Source organism: Homo sapiens, chromosome 11, assembly GCF_000001405.40.
Source record: "Homo sapiens chromosome 11, GRCh38.p14 Primary Assembly".
Classification (NCBI taxonomy): domain Eukaryota; kingdom Metazoa; phylum Chordata; class Mammalia; order Primates; family Hominidae; genus Homo; species Homo sapiens.
Genome location: NC_000011.10, coordinates 14,231,864 through 14,247,501, shown reverse-complemented (window position 1 = coordinate 14,247,501; position 15,638 = coordinate 14,231,864). Strand labels below are relative to the sequence as shown.

Genomic DNA, 15,638 nt, shown 5'->3' with positions numbered 1-15,638 from the left:
TTCACACAGGGGCCGAGTGCTGTTATTGCTTTTTATTTTTTAATGCAAATATGATCATGTCACCCTTTTGCTTAAAACCCTTCAATGATTTACCATTATTATTTGAGACAGGGTCTCGCTCTGTCACCCAGACTGGAGTGCATGGTTCACTGCAGCCTCAGCCTCCTCGGCTAAAGTGATCCTCCTGCCTCAGCCTCCCAGGTAGCTGAGACCACAGGCACAAGCCACCACGCCTGGCTAGTTTTTAAAATTTTTTGTAGAGATGGGGGTCTTGCTTTGTTGCCCAGGCTGTTCTCAAACTCCTGGGCTCGAGTGAGCCTCCTGCTTCCACCTCCCAAAATGTTAAGATTACAGGTGTGAGCCAGTACACCTGGTCTTACTCATGACTTTTAATGCAAAAATTCAAATAAAAAATTTCAAATGTTACATGGCTTGGCCCCACACCAAACTCATCTTTGATTTCTGGATCTAGTTAGACCAAAGCCTTTTAGTGCCTTAGACATACTCTACTCCCTCCTCATACAGGGCCTTTGCAGATACATGATGGTCTCTCCAGATTTTCTAAAATGTTCTCCCCTTTGTTTTCTTCTTTGCTTAGTTAACTCCTACTGCTTCCTTAGATCTTAGCTTCATTGCCTTTTTAGGGGGAAGCTATCTCTAACCCCCCTAATGGCACTTTATGCCTTTCCTTCATAGACATGTCACATTTATTTGTGTGATCATTTAGTAAATATCTCTCCCCACTGAATTGTAATCTCCATAAGGAACTGTGCTGTGCTCACCACAGTTGCCCTAAGCACCTTTCACAGGACTTTTTTTGGGGGGACCCTCCTATCAAGGATGTTTCAGTCCTCCTTGATAGGATACAGGGTAAGTGAAAGTAAGATTTTGTTTGTTTTGGGGTAGGTGTGAGACCATTTGGTGTGGTCACATTGTTAATTTCATGCCAATCAGAAGGCTCATTGGCAGGTATATATGTCTTGATTAATTTAGACATGGGAAAATGAATGAATTGTTACTTAATTGGAAGGATCGTGTTATAGTGAAAAGCACAGGCATTAGAATCAGCTGGGTACTGTTGGCATTCTATATCCACCCTTGCTGTCATAGGACCTCTGAGTCTCAGTTTGGTCATTGGTAAAATGGACATTGCAATACCTACCTCATGGTTATTAGGATTAAAAGGGATAATAAATGTCAGCGCCTACTTGGACCCAAGGGGATGCTGAAGGTAAAAAGGACTGCTCTCTCTTTCCTCTCTCCCTCCCTTCCTATCTCTTTCCTGAATGTGCTTTGATTTGCAGTTTACATCTGTTTAAGCCCAGGCTCCTCAAGAGAAAACTGGTATAAAGACTCCTTAATGGTGTAAAAATTGGTACCCACAAACTCTCCCCACCCCTACCTGCCTTTCATCCCCTGCCCACTTAGAGGACCAGAAGTGAGGGGTTCTTCACACATAGGTTCTGGGAGCCAAGGAACTGGGAGAATCTGAAGAGACAGCAGAGTAAGGAGATTCAGGGTGACCTGACTGGTAACTGATGTTAATTATGCAAAGGGCACCAAGGGCTTTTGTGAATTCACATCCTTGTTTTTTGGTAGGACAGGGATGAGATGGGCAAAGGTGCACCTGCCAGGAGAGTGCCCTGGGTAGGCCCTGCCTCGTGTTGCTTCTCCTTGGAGGGCAAGGCATTTCCTGGGCTGGGTGGGTTTTCTCCTGCCCTGGTGTGAGCTTCCTTAGGGAGGATCCAGAGCAAGGCTTAGAGCTCACAGCAGGCTAGAAAAGGCCTCCATGCAGCCAGCTGGGCTGCGCTGGGCCAGCTGTCTGAGTGCTAGTCTCTCTTTCCCTCCTCAGGCCTCCACTCAGAGCCTCAGCTCCACCCAAGCCTGGGCCAGTCCTGACCAGCACAAGGAACACCTTCCAGGCACAGCCCCATGTCCCTCCTCCACACAGCAGGAGAGGGTTCTGCCCCTGCTCTGGGGCTCCAGAGCCATTCCTCACCCTAACATTTATCCCCTTGGAGTATACAAGGCTGCCATGATGACATTATATTTTATATATTCAGGTTATATGGTGCTGCCTGGACTTGTGCAAAGGGAAAACCTGGAGTGGCCCAACTTGGTCTGTTGTCTGTCTCCTCTCTGGCTGAGTGTTCCAGAGAGCTAGGACTGCATGTGCAGGGCTGGCGCACAGTAGGGGATGAGCCATTAGTTTGCTGAATGGTTAAATGAGCAGGTATCAGGTGCCTCGCCGTAGCTTCCCTGCTCCCAGGCAGTCAGCTATGAGTGTGCCTCCTCCCTCACTCCCACTGCCCTATCCTGGGGCGTCTTCCTTTTGAATGTCCAGCACTTTCCTCCCTTCCTATCCTGTGGATTTCGCCTTTTCTCCCACTGAGCAGCATCTCACACATTCCTCACATTGTTGCTGTCTTCAATACGGGTGTTAATGGATGTAGACTACTCCCTAGAGGGGCTGGCCAAGGCTTCTTCGTAAACCATCTTCTTGGGGTCAGTCTCCAGGCCTTGCGTCTTTAAAGGATGAGCAAAATCAAAGCTTGTTCAAGGAACTGCCCAGGATTCGGGGTGGCCTGTATGAGGTGCAGCATGGGGAGGACAAGAGATGAACCCCGACGTGTGTTCCGCCCACCTGCGCACGCTAAACTAAGGAGTGTGGACTTGATCTTGAGACTAAGCGAAGTCACAGAGGGATGAAGAAGGAGAGGACACAACAGATTTGGATTCTTTTTTGTTGTTGTTGAGACAGAGTCTTATTCCCATCACCTAGGCTGGAGTGCAGTGGTGCGATCACGGCTCACTGCTGCTTGACTCCCTGGACCCGGGCGATGCTCCTACTTCAGCCTCCTGAGTAGGTGGGACTACAGGCATGCGCCACCACACCCAGTTAGATTTTTGTATTTTTAGTAGAAGCAGGGTTTTGCCATGTTGCCCAGGCTAGCTGGAGGATTTGGATTCTTTTTTTTTTTTTTTGAGATGGATTCTTGCTCTGTCACCAGGCTGGAGTGCAGTGGTGCGATCTCAGCTCACTGCAACCTCTGATTACCTGGTTCAAGTGATTCTCCTGCCTCAGCCTCCCAAATAGCTGGGATTACAGACACGTGCCACCACACCCAGCTAATTTTTGTATTTTTAGTAGAGACTGAGTTTCACCATGTTGGCCAGCATGGTCTCGATCTCCTGACCTCGTGATCTGCCCGCCTTGGCTTCCTAAAATGCTGAGATTACAGCGTAAGCCACTGCGCCTGGCCGGTATTTGGATTCTTAAAAGATCACTCTAGTAACTGTGGATGAGGAATTGGACTGAGGGAGACTACAGCAAAGGAAAAAGGTGACGTGGTCCAGGTGAGAAAGGGTGATGGCTTGAAGGAAGGGGAGGAGAATCAAGTAAGGACTGATTTGTGAGCTGCCCAGAAGGCAGAATCCACAGGGTTTTGACACTCACTGTACTTTCAATATTTCTCCACATGGAGAACAGCAGGTTTGTTTGAAGGTGATGGGACCCATTTTGGACATGATGAGTTTAAGGTCCAGGTGGACCATCCATGGAGAGCTGTCCAAAAACCTGACGGATATACCACTGTATCCATCCATTTGGCAGGAGGTAGTTTTGGGGACTGTCAGCATACCCTTGGTCACCTGACTCAAGGGCAGATAAAATCTCTCTGGGATAGAGGAGACAGAAAAGAAACGGGACTGAGAATGGAACCCAGGGTAAATCTGGCTTTCCACACATCAGACTGGCTAAGCATGAGTACACCTGTGTGCTCTGAGGGTGAGGGCATGTTTGGTCTGTTGTGGCTGAGAGCATGAGTGAACACAGAACAGTTAATCATCCCATCTGAGTTGGTATTAAAGCCATCACATCTGGCTGTGGTATTAAAGCCATTGGGGGAAAACAGAGCCTGAGCCTGCATCCTTGAGAAGATGGGGCAGGTGTGATGCTCTGCACATAGAAAGCATCTTGCCTGCTTGTTAACTGAGAAGTAGTGCTAACTTCAACAGCATAACTGGTATGTGGTGGCCATTAGGTAGGTGGCTTTGAGAAGGGGCTAGGATAAGACAGGCCAGGCAAGGGACTTGTGTTACTTACACGTTGAGAGGCTGCCAGGCTGGCCATTGGGCTTTGGCTTTGATGACGGTGAGGACCTCATCACTCTGCAAAAAAGGACCACAAATATTTAGTGAACAGAGCTGGGCTCATGGGAACAATAGGGCTTTGACCTGGTGACACCATTCACCCCCACTCCCTCACCTGCTGTTGGGGCTTTTCCTGCCTGGGTGTACAGCCACCTCTCTCTGGGATGGGGGAACCCTGGGGCCTCAGTGATACCGGGAGAGGGGACTGAGTGTCCAGGTATGTCCTGGACACTGAAGGGCCACTGAGTCACACCTTTGGTTTCCAGCTCAGCCCATCCCTTCCCCACTAGAGCAGAGATCTGGCCTGGATTCTGCCTTGGTTGGCCAGACTCCCATGTCATGTCCATTTCAGAGGGCAGAGCCATGCTCTGTGTCCAGCAACTGAGTGGGGCCTGCTCCAGGCCAGCTGGGTCAGCAGGAGTTGCAATGTGGCTAACACCTGGCCCTGAGGACTGTCCCCTCAACGCCTGTCCTGCTGGTGAGACCCATGCGCTGGATCAGACTCCCTTGGACGAGGAGGCCAGCACAAAGCCAAGGCCCCATACCCGTGGTGCCCCTCAGGTTCTCTGGCTCTGTTTTGCTTTGGATGGTGAATAAAGCACCATAAAGTTATTTTAGGGATAACTGGGGAAACTAAAGTAATTTTTTGAGGAATAATTTGATAATTAACATTTTGAAGGAAAGCACTGAATGGTCTTCATAGGGCAAAAATCAGAACTTTGTTGATTTTGCTCAACTTTGAGGTTTGGTTGGGTTTTTATTTTCAATTACACACTGCGGGTGAGGGGTGCCATGATCTTTGCAAGGCTGGAGGCCTCCACAGGTCCAAGTTCAGCTCTGGTGGGGGGCTTTCCCTAGAGTGGAGTCAGCTGGTCCTGTATGGCCCCTTTCCCTGGCCTGGGCCCAGCAGTGCTCAGACACAATAGTCCATTGTGTGTGGAAAACTCCAGAATGTCACCAGCTGGGGAAGGAAGGGCTTTGTTGCCAACTGAACAGATCCCTGAGTTCCAGGGGAAGAGACTTGCTTGGCTGGCTCATAGCGACAAGGCTACAGTCCTTAGAGTCGTGCCTGGCAGCAGGCGCCTAGAATGCAGTTAGAATGCATTGTGACCTTCTCCCTGGTTGGGTACCTTGCCTAGAAAATCCCACAGCCCCATGGAAACTGAAAGGAAGGAGGACAGTGGTGTCTCTGAGGCTCAGGCCCAGAGGTTATAAAAAGCTTTCTGGTCCATGGCTTCCCATTTACCATGCAGGAAGGGGCTGCTGGGTGGTGGTGGTGCAGAGGAAGTTGGCTTAGCCAGACCCAGCGTGGTCTGGGCTCCTACAGACAGTCCTGGGTGAGGGGAAGGGCCCACAAGGACAGGGCAGCGGCGGTGAGCCACCCAGGAAGCTTGCAGCCTCCTCCTAGGCTCAGGCTCCCCGGGGTACCCTCTTTCCATCAGATGAAAAAAATCTTGGGATGCACAGACACCCCAACATTCACATGTCTGCAGGCAAAGCATTTCCCAACAGAGCAGTTACATTTCTCATGCTCTGAGAAATATATTTATTTGTTTACAGTGTATCCCTTCTTCCCTCCTAAGAAATATCTGTTGAATGACCGAGAAGTTGTTTATCTTGAAGTCATATATGGAACACAACCTATCTGTCTCCTGAGTGCCAGCTCCATGTCTCCCCAGACCTGGTTTTCCTCCAGTCATCTCATATGCCTCATGGCTGAGCCCTTCCTCTGACCTCAGAGTCCTGCTCCTCCTCCAGCAGCCCAGCCTGGGTTGAAGGCACAGCTCAGGCGTGCCTGAGCCGGGTGCCAAACACCAGCAGCTCCCTTCACCCCCGACACCAGTCAGGCTGAGGATTCCTGTGTTCACCTCCTTCCACAGTCTCCCCTCTGGCCACCCCATCTCCAGTATCTTCTTGCTTCCCCCAATTCATCCTCCACTTGCTGCAAATCTGACGGTATCTGTCTCCTGCCAAAACCCTTCAAAGGCTCCTCACAACTTCCATGACAATTTCTTACTTCCTGAGTTTTGCTTATGGGGTCCTCATCATCTAGTTCTGCTCCACTTTTTTTTCTTTGATTTTTAATTCCAGAATAATACACACATTGTGGAAAATTTTAGCATCACAGAAACTCACAATGTAAATGTTGAACACAGTCTACTTCAACAGCAACCCTGCCTTCTGTCTCCTTCTCCGTTTCCAGAATATTACAGCATGGTGTGTATCTTTCCAGATCTTCTACGATGCACATGTAAGGATGTGTGTGTGTGTGTGCAGGCATTATATTTAGCTTTCCCACCAAATCTGTGTCATACTGAATATCTTGTTCTGTACCATGACTTTAAAATATTTCCTTAATATCATATCACGGGAAACTTTCCATCAGTACGTACTACATACTATGTACACTATATACTATATATCTTAGCTCTCTTTTTTGATTTTTAAAGTGTTGGATATCTTCAAATTATGGCAAGCCAGGTCAAGACTTAGAAAAAGGAAATCCAAGATATCAGATCCTGGTAATGAGATACTGTCTGATGACAGTCTGTTTGCTCTTGAAGAAATATTTCACTAGAAAATAAAATCAATGTGGGTGGAGTGAAGGTGGCTGCCAAGTTAGCTGGCCATGCAGATTCACCTTGCTTTACAGTTAAATTCTGGTTTACAGGTCCCAGCTGATATAGTGATTTTGCTTTTGTAATATATAACTACACACACACACACACACACACACACACACACACACACACACACACAATATTGCTTCTTGGCCTTTTGGCCAAGATCAAATGTATAACTCCACAAGTATAGTTTGGAACCTACATTACCATTTATTTATGGTGATGAAACTCCATTTAGACCTATGGAGGCTCCAAGGATGGTGGGACCATATGTGTGGGCATGACAGCTTCCTGCTGTAAATCTTTTCATCTAGTGGTTACACAACATCTGCAGGGTCAACAGCTTATTGTTCTCTTTTTTGGTGATCATTTGAGTTAAATGAAACAAGAAAGCAGGAGCATTCTACCACATTTATTTAAAAAGCTAAATATTTTTGTTGAAGCAGCAAGTTATCTGGTAGAACTTAACTTCTATAAGGATCAGAGAGAATCTTGCTCATTCATGGCCATATCACCATGCCTACGGCCGCTCAGTAGATTGTTGAAAAAGCAAAGCCACACCATTCTCTTTGATGTATGCAGAGAGTTATGTAGCAGGGGATGTTCTCTAATTGATTCCACTGGCACCATTAGTAAATATTTAGTTGTTTTCATAAATGATGCTGTGATGAAGACTCATGTACGTATTTATTTGCTCATACATCCAAGGATTCCTGTATCATTGAGTCATAGGAGTGATCAAAATGTGAAGCAAATTTAAAACTGTGGTCTGCCCTACCAAATTGCCCTCCAAATGTCTGTACTAATTTCTACTCCCAGCAAGGATGTGTATGTGCCCATGTTCTCAATTTAGGGCACACGGGATACTATCCATCTTTTTAATGTTTATGAATCCAGCAGGCAGGAAAGTAGCATAGTTGAGAAGCATAAGCTCTGGAATCATACCTGAGGTCATATGCTAATGGTACCATTTACTAGCTCTGTGTTTTTGTTTTGTTTTTGAGACAGGGTCTCACTTTGTCACCCAGGTTGTAGTGCAGTGGCACGATCTCAGCTCACTGCAGGCTCAGCCTCCCGGGCTCAAGCAATCCTCCCACCTCAGCCTCCTGAGTAGCTAGGACTACAGGTGTGCACCACTACTCATGGCTAATTTTTGTATTTTTGTAGAGATGGGGTTTCGCCACATTGCCCATGTTGGTCTTAAACTCCTGAGCTCAAGTGATCTGCCCGCCTCGGCCTCCCAAAGTGCTGGGATTACAGGTGTGAGCCACCGTGCCCTGCCAAACTCTGTTTTTTGGCAAGTCTTGTGACCTCTCTTAGTTTTCTCATCTGTGAAATAGGGTAAAAAGAGGATCTTCTGCATGTGCTTGTTAGGGGGACTAAATGACAACTCATGTAATGTGGCAATGAAGTGCCTGGCACATAGCAGGTGCTCCACAAAAATTACTGATCATTCTTATTTTTACTTACATTCAGGGTAAGTTCATATCAGAATTGACTTGCGCTGCCTGAGTACAGAGACTGGAGCACACAGTTGCAGGTACAAACCCACAAAGCCTCAGGAGAACTTGCCTCCATTGAAAGCCAAGCTCTGAGTCCCAGGGAGCATATGATGGAAGGCTTATGTAGCTTGGATGGGGGCACTAGGGCCCTGGGCATTTCACATTCTGAAGAATGAAGGACTTAAATTCAGAGTAAGCAACCCACACTTCAGACTTAAATGAAAAGCTTATTTTAACAAGTCTCTAAGGCACAGACAGGAACTTTCAAGAATACTTAGAGCCCCTTCTCAGCTCCCACAGGACCCTTTTCAAACAAAGTGTCTCAGGGCATCCATCGTTCATGGTTCATTTGGATGATGCCAACACTTTTCTAAAGACATACCAATTAAAATAGGAAAAAACCCAAAGATACTACAGGTCACTCATATTCATCTTCCATTTTGCTTTTGTAAGCATATTGTGGGGATACAACAGCTGTACTTGTACCTCACAGTTACTGGTACCAAATGGGAAGAGCATATCCCCTAACAGGCCATGGGCTGAGGTCAGGTCTGGAGGGAAGCGGGTTCATGTGGAATGAAAACAGATCTGGGACAGATCTGTTCTGGAGGCAGCAATTACATCAATACCAGGAGATAAACAGGGTGGTCTGAGCAGAACAGAAAGTAAGACTGTGAGTCTAGGGTCGGGGCTGGTGTCTGAACCAATCTTACCCCACGCTGACCCTCCTCTGCACTCCAGAGCCAGCCACCCAATGAGGAAGAGCTCCACACATCCCAGCTGTGCCCACAGCAGAAGGCCAGAGTCTGTCACATCCCCCTGCCCCTTTCTTCCTAACTTTTTGACTTTGTCTTCCAGTCCTGAACCACAAGCCATTTCCTCATCCTAAACATTCCTTTGCTGCTGGTAGCACTGAGGCTCAGACCTCAGTGTGGAGTCAGCCTGGCCAACTTGCCTGATGCCCCTACCATCTCTCCTCCCCACAGGAAGAGAAATGGGATGCAATCCATGATCAGAGAGGGAAAGGAATAGAAACAGGTGGAAACAGCAACAATAATAAAACAATAATTATTTATTTTTTATGTGCTAAGCATCTTGCTAACCTTGCAAATTGCCTAATAGACAGCATCTGATTTAATCCTTACAACACATTTGCAAGGTGGATATATACGTTTTAATCCTCAGAAACACATTTATTTGGCCAAATTAGTTTCACAGTTAGTTAACTGGCTGAGCTAGAGTTTAGACCTCAGTCTGATTCTAGAGGCCACACCCGTTGCCACCATGAACCCAGGCAGATGGGGCCTGAAAGTGCACACTGTGGCCCAGGAGAACCAGGCCCACCCCTCCTACTTCTGCTGCTCTTAAGGGCATGTCCTAGCCTACTTTCAGTTCTGCATATCACAGCCACACGTGGAAGAATATCAGACCATGTTCACAACACTGAAAGTTACTGCTGTTCTGACGACCGGTTTGATGAAGCCGGGAAGGCACAGGCTCCTTGGGCTGAAGAAAAACTGTCTGCTACTAAACAGGGGAAAACCCAGTGCCACTAATTGCAAATGCAGTGATACGCAGCCACACACACAGTGTGCATTCCCCCATTCAACAGCTTGTTTCTTACAGAAAGCTTTGGAAATAGCTATCACGCTGTCCACTGCAGATGAGGAAGCTGTGGCTCAGAGGAGTCAGGTCATTTGCTGACCACACAGGAACCACGATTCCAACGCATGTGTATCTGACTCCAAACTCACATTCTTTCCACTTTCCCTGACTGTCCTTCTTCTCCATCCTTCTCTCCTCCCTCCCCCATGTTGCTCATTTTGCAGTGAGAGCACAGCTGACCCTGGTTGGTGGCTTTCTCCAAGGAGCCCTTGCTTTGAGGCACAGGATCACTGGGGTTCCCTCTGGGAGAGCAGTGTCTGGAATCTTGCGTGGAGACCCCGGTGAGCACTATTTGGCCCCATTATTTGCTTTTTCTCTTTCCCAGTTGCCATGCACAAAAAATATCCATCCTGACAGCTTCTACCTCTGAAGGTAACTTTTTCATGCCTGGGTGAGTGTTCTGGTGATGAGTAGCAAGAAATGAGCCATTTTATGAGGTGATAACGGGGCTGTAAGCATCTTTAAAACCAATTGTGCCCAACAGTAGCCTCCCCTCATTTCAACAGCCTCTGGGCTTCTCAGGTCATAAATAAAACAGCTCATATTTGGTGGCACTTTGCAGTTTGCCCATGGTCTGCACTGCTGCTCTCTGAGGAAGGCAGGAGGGTGTCCCCATTTCTCAGGTGAGGCAACTGAGACTCACCTCTCCTCTGACAGCAGACTCACTGCTCCCGTCAAGGTCACCAGTGACCTCTCCGTGCCAAAGCCAAAGTCAGTGCCCAGCTCTCAGCTCTTGTGACCCCTCAGCAGTATTTGACACAGCTGGTCACTCACTCCCTCTGCCTTGAAAAGCTTTCTCCTTGGCTCTGGGACTTGCTGCCTCTGATTTTCTTTCCACTTCATCAACTCTTCCTTCTCAGTCTCCCTCGCTGACTCCTATTCACTTTCCTCTAAAGCTTGAAGTGCCCCAGGGCTCAAGCCTTTGGTCTTCTCTTTTATCCACACTCCCTTGGTGATTTCATTTAGTCCCCTGCCTTAAAAAGCCAACTGTGTATATGCTGATGATTCCTAAGCTGTAATCTTCTATTGCAAACTAGCCTCTGACTCTAGACTTGCATATCAGCCACTCAACATTTTCATCTGGGTATCTAAGTGGCATCTCAAACTCAACAACGTGCCTGAAACCAAACTCCTGATCTTCCCCTCCCTAAGCCCAGCCTCCTTCATTCTTCCCATCCCATTACATGGCAATGCCGTACTTTCAGTTCCATCCACCCTGGATGCCTCTTTCTCTCCCACCCTGCAACTGATCCATCGGCACACCCTGTCAACTCCACTTCCAAAATATCTTCATGATCCAACCACTTTCCGTCTCCTGCCTGCCTCCATCCTGATCCAAGCCACCATCATCGCTCAGCTAGATGAGTGCAGTTGCTTCCTAGCAGGTCTCTCTACCTCCCCTCCCTTCCTCCAGACTCTTGTTCGTGCAGCAGTCATATCATGCCATTCCTCTGGCCAAAATCCTCCAGTGGCTTTGCATCTCACAGCAGACAGGACCTTGCTCTGGTCCCCCACACCCTCCATGGTCTGCCTGTCCTCCTGAGCCTCATCTCTTACTACTCTTCCACAACCTGGGTTTCGGCATCCTGGACTTCTTATGTATCTTTAAACATGCCAGGCACACCTTGCACTTGCTGTTCCCTGTGCCTGGAATGCTGTTCTCCCAGATACCAGAGCACTCTCTCCTTTGTTTCCTCCAGGTCTTTGCTCAAATGTCAACTTCTCAGTGAGGACTTTGATGTCCATGGCAGGTCCCTGCCCCCTTTTTGACTCAGCATCCCTATTCCTTTATCCCACTATCTTTTCTTCATAACATTTGCCATTGTCCAGTTGACTGTGCATTTTGCTTACTTTTTTTTTTTTTTTTTTTTTTTTTTTTTGAGGCAGGGTCTTTCTCTGTTGCCTAGGCTGGAGTACAGGGGCATAATCATGGCTCACTGTAGAATGACCTCCTGGGCTCAAGCCATCCTTCTACCCTCAGCATACCAAATAGCTGGGACTACAGGTGCCTACCACCATGCCCAGTTAGTTTTAAAATTAGTTGTAGAGATGGGGTCTTGCTTTGTTGCTCAGGCTGGCCTCACACTCCTGGGCTCAAGCCATCTGCTTGCCTCAGCCTCCCAAAGTGTTGGGATTACAGGCGTGAGCCACCATGTCCTGCCTTATTTACTTTTTATTGTCTATCTCCCCCTGCTAGAATGGAAGCTCCAAGAGGGCGAGGGTGTTTGTCTGTTTTGCTCACTGCTGTACTATCAGTGTTTAGATCTGTGTTGGGAACACGCTTAACTAATACTTGTTGGGTGAATGAGAGGCTGTGATGAGGAAGGGGCTGGTGTCCTCCGAGGCCCAGTCCGTGGGCACTCCCTGGACCTAGGATGGAGCCAGCGCAGTGTGAAGTGACACTCATCGACCTGGGTGTCAGCTGGAGGCGCTGGAGGAGCAGTGAGAGTCCCAGCATAGAGCCGTGCCAGCACTGCCAGGTAGAGGAGGGGAAGGGACAGCATACAGTGACCACTTTGGGAACCGTGGTCAGAGCTCACAGGTTCTGAACCTGGCTCAGGTGGGCTGGCTGGCCGTTCATAAGTGCTCATTCTATGCCCCGTTCCCCGGGAAGCAGCCACCATCACAAGCTGCTGTCTGATCAACTATTTTAGAGCAAGAGAAAGTATCTGAAGCCCATTAGCAGATCCACTAGAAGATGATGCGTTTGCACAGAAGCATTTCAAATTCAATTTCTTTTTATTTCTTTTCAAACACAGCTTGTAATTTCGATGGGAAAATTGCATAATGTCCGTAGATAATGATTTTCCCCTGAGATGGTTTTGTGGAAGCAGCTTGGCATTTCTGAAGCCAGAGAGGAAGGGACCATCAGAGCTGTTCCGGGCCTGCCCCACTGCCCCTCCGCCCAAGGGCTGCCTCCGGTGGGTGGGAGCTCTGAGGACTCACATCACCCTATGACCTTCTGTGTGCTGGCACTGGCCATCGGCATTTACTTAGCTTGTCCTTTGGTAACTGAAGTACCATCCTGGATTTAACCTCATTTTCTGCATTTTTATTATGTTCTTTTTAGTGCTCACACAAGTCTGCTGCTCCCCTGAGTAAAATCAGTGAGCAAAGGAGCAGAAGAGGCTGATGGGGCATGCCTGCCTCCCATCCCACCAGCCCCCAGGACCTGCTCTTCCGTGGTCCGCCTCCCCATCTTCTACCTGACCTTCAGCAGTCAGAAAAACCTTAGTGCCAAGGCCAGAGCAAAGAAGGGAAAAGGGGGCCACAGCAGAAGGTATTCGAACATCACGTAGGTGATGCCAAATCCAAACAGGAGAGAACATCAAGCAAGGGCTGTCTGCCTTCAAACAGAAAGGGCTGTGAGGAAGCCCAGCCCATGATCCAGGCCAGATCTGACTGGAGGTGCCTCAACCTGTAAGGGTAGTGCCCCTTTCAGCACCCCTAACCCTACCCCATGGGAACACATCCTGTAGTCTTCAAGAAACAGCACTGGGGGTCGGGTGCTTTGGCTCACACTGTAATCCCAGCACTTTGGGAGGCCAAGGTTGATGGATCACCTGAGGTCAGGAGTTTGAGACCAGCCTGGCCAACATGGTGAAACCCCATCTCTAAAAGTACAAAAATTAGCTGGGCATGGTGGCGGGCACCTGTAATCCCAGCTACTTGGGAGGCTGAGGCAGGGGAATTGCTTGAACTCAGGAGGCAGAGGTCGCAGTGAGCTGAGATTGTACCATTGCACTCCAGACTGGGCGACGAGGGCAGAACTCCATCTCAAAAAAAAAAAAAAAAAAAAAGAAAAAGAAACAGTGTTGGACACTCCTCAACCATGATTCCCATCCCCACTGCCATCCCAGGGCAGGTCCCGTCCCAGAAGCCAGCATTAGAGCAGGGGCCGCATTGCATCCCTTCTATATCCTCAGCACCAGCCTGGCTTGTGAGAGGTATGCAGGGAATATTTAAGGGATAAATAATGAATTAGTTAATTAAACAATTAGTTAATAATAAGCTAGAGGAAGTCTCTGGCCTTGGCTGCCCTCCCAGAGGGTTTAGGGGCTGTTGTTCAGAGTGTGATGGGACTGGAACATGGCTGAGGGGTTTGTGAGCAGAAGAGTGGTATGACCTGATTCATATTTTTAAAGGATCCTGCTGGCTGCTCAGGGAAAGTAACTGGAGTGGGGCAAGCTGGGGAGCAAGGACCCCAGGCAGGAGGCCATTGCTGTGTCTGGCGACATAGGGCCAGGGAAGAGCAATGGAAGGGGTTCAAGGCATGGGATGCAGATATATTTTACAGGTCGGCTCAGCGTTATCTGCTGATGGATTGGATGTGAGGTATAAAACAAAGAGGGGTCAAGGATGACTCCAAAAGGAGGTGTCATGTAGGAAGGTAGATATATGAGGCCGGAGCTCAACGGAGAAGTCCAGGCTGGAGACGTAAACTCCAAGTCATCAGCATAGAGACTGGTAGTTAAAACCACAGGATAGATTACCTGGGGAGTGAATGGAGGCAGAGGAGAGGATGGGGGAGAGCAAAGCAGACTAAGGTATAATGGCCAGAGAGATAGGAGGACACCAGGACCTGCCCAGGGCCTCTTCAGAAACCCTGTGCTTACCCCACTACCTCTGCGGCCTCTGTTTACTGCTGCCCTACTGCCCCCCCTGCCATGTGCTCACTGCTGCCGCCGCTGCCCCACTGGCCACTACTGAAAATACAATGGAAGCAGGTTCAGGAAAGACAGAGGTGAATTAGCGGAACCAGCAAGCCCAGACAGCGCTTTTTGAGAAGTCGGCTGTGGAGTTGAGAAAAATGGCAGTAGCAGGAAGGACATGTGATTATTTTTTGAAAGATGTGTGATATGAGGGCAAGTTTGTATGTCCAAGTGTATAATCCAATATAGAAGATAAGCTCATATTGCAGGAGAGAGGGAGGGTGCACTTGCAGGAATGGATCCCTAAGGTGAGATCCAGACCTGGGAGGGAGGAGTGGTCTTCCAGAGTTGCCAGAGTGGGGAGGGAAAAGGGAAGCAGAGGACAGAGCTGCAGATGCTCTGGTTACTGGTTATCTGCAGGTGCTCTGGTTAGTGGTTACAGGCATGAGCCAGAGAGCATGTGGGTTGGGTTGCTGGGGCTGATGGTGAGGACTCATTCATCCAGCAATGATAGATGGAGCCCCTAGTCTGTGCCAGGCCTATTCCACGTGCTGGAGAATGAGCCCTGAACAGAAGACACACCCATCCTTGTCCTCAAGGAGCTTACATTCCGGAGGAGGAGGCAGACATAACAGCTACACAGTGTGTCCAGTGCTGATTAGCTCTCCGGGGAAAATATAGCCGGGAAGGGTGAGGGGGAGGGCCAGGATGGGGTGAGAGAGTTATGCTGCAATTTTAGAGTGGTGGAGGAAGCCTTCACCAATAAAGTGACTCAAGTATTTTAAGAAACAGATGCTGATGCATATGAAAGGGCCAGGAAAGAACTCTACCAAAATGAAAATATACCTCACATACTGAAATAAGGTCTTTAGAATTTAAAAACATAACCATGTTTTGGCCACACACACAGAGACAAACACACACACACACACACGGCGTAGGAGGAGAGAGAAACAAAAAGAATGACCCTATAATCCCACCATCCTTACCCAGCAGCTTTCATCAATTGCAATATTCATTTGTTTGTCATAGTTGACATCATA

At 48.3% G+C, this 15,638-nt stretch overlaps 1 protein-coding gene across 1 annotated transcript in view, besides 1 other annotated feature; it reads right to left on the bottom strand.

Annotated features, from left to right (window-relative positions):
• Positions 1-15,638, bottom strand: part of SPON1 (spondin 1) — a 305,411-nt gene that overhangs the window by 20,632 nt on the left and 269,141 nt on the right. Inside the window, exon 7 of the mRNA NM_006108.4 lies at positions 4,106-4,170. Coding sequence (NP_006099.2) covers positions 4,106-4,170 — 65 coding nt within the window. The remainder of the gene's footprint in view (positions 1-4,105; positions 4,171-15,638) is intronic.
• Positions 9,882-9,931: an enhancer, noted in NCBI's record as "active region_4468". NCBI's record gives its function as "activates an Ori minimal core promoter by ATAC-STARR-seq in GM12878 lymphoblastoid cells {active_cell/tissue: GM12878}" and the evidence as "EXISTENCE:reporter gene assay evidence [ECO:0000049][PMID:35858748]".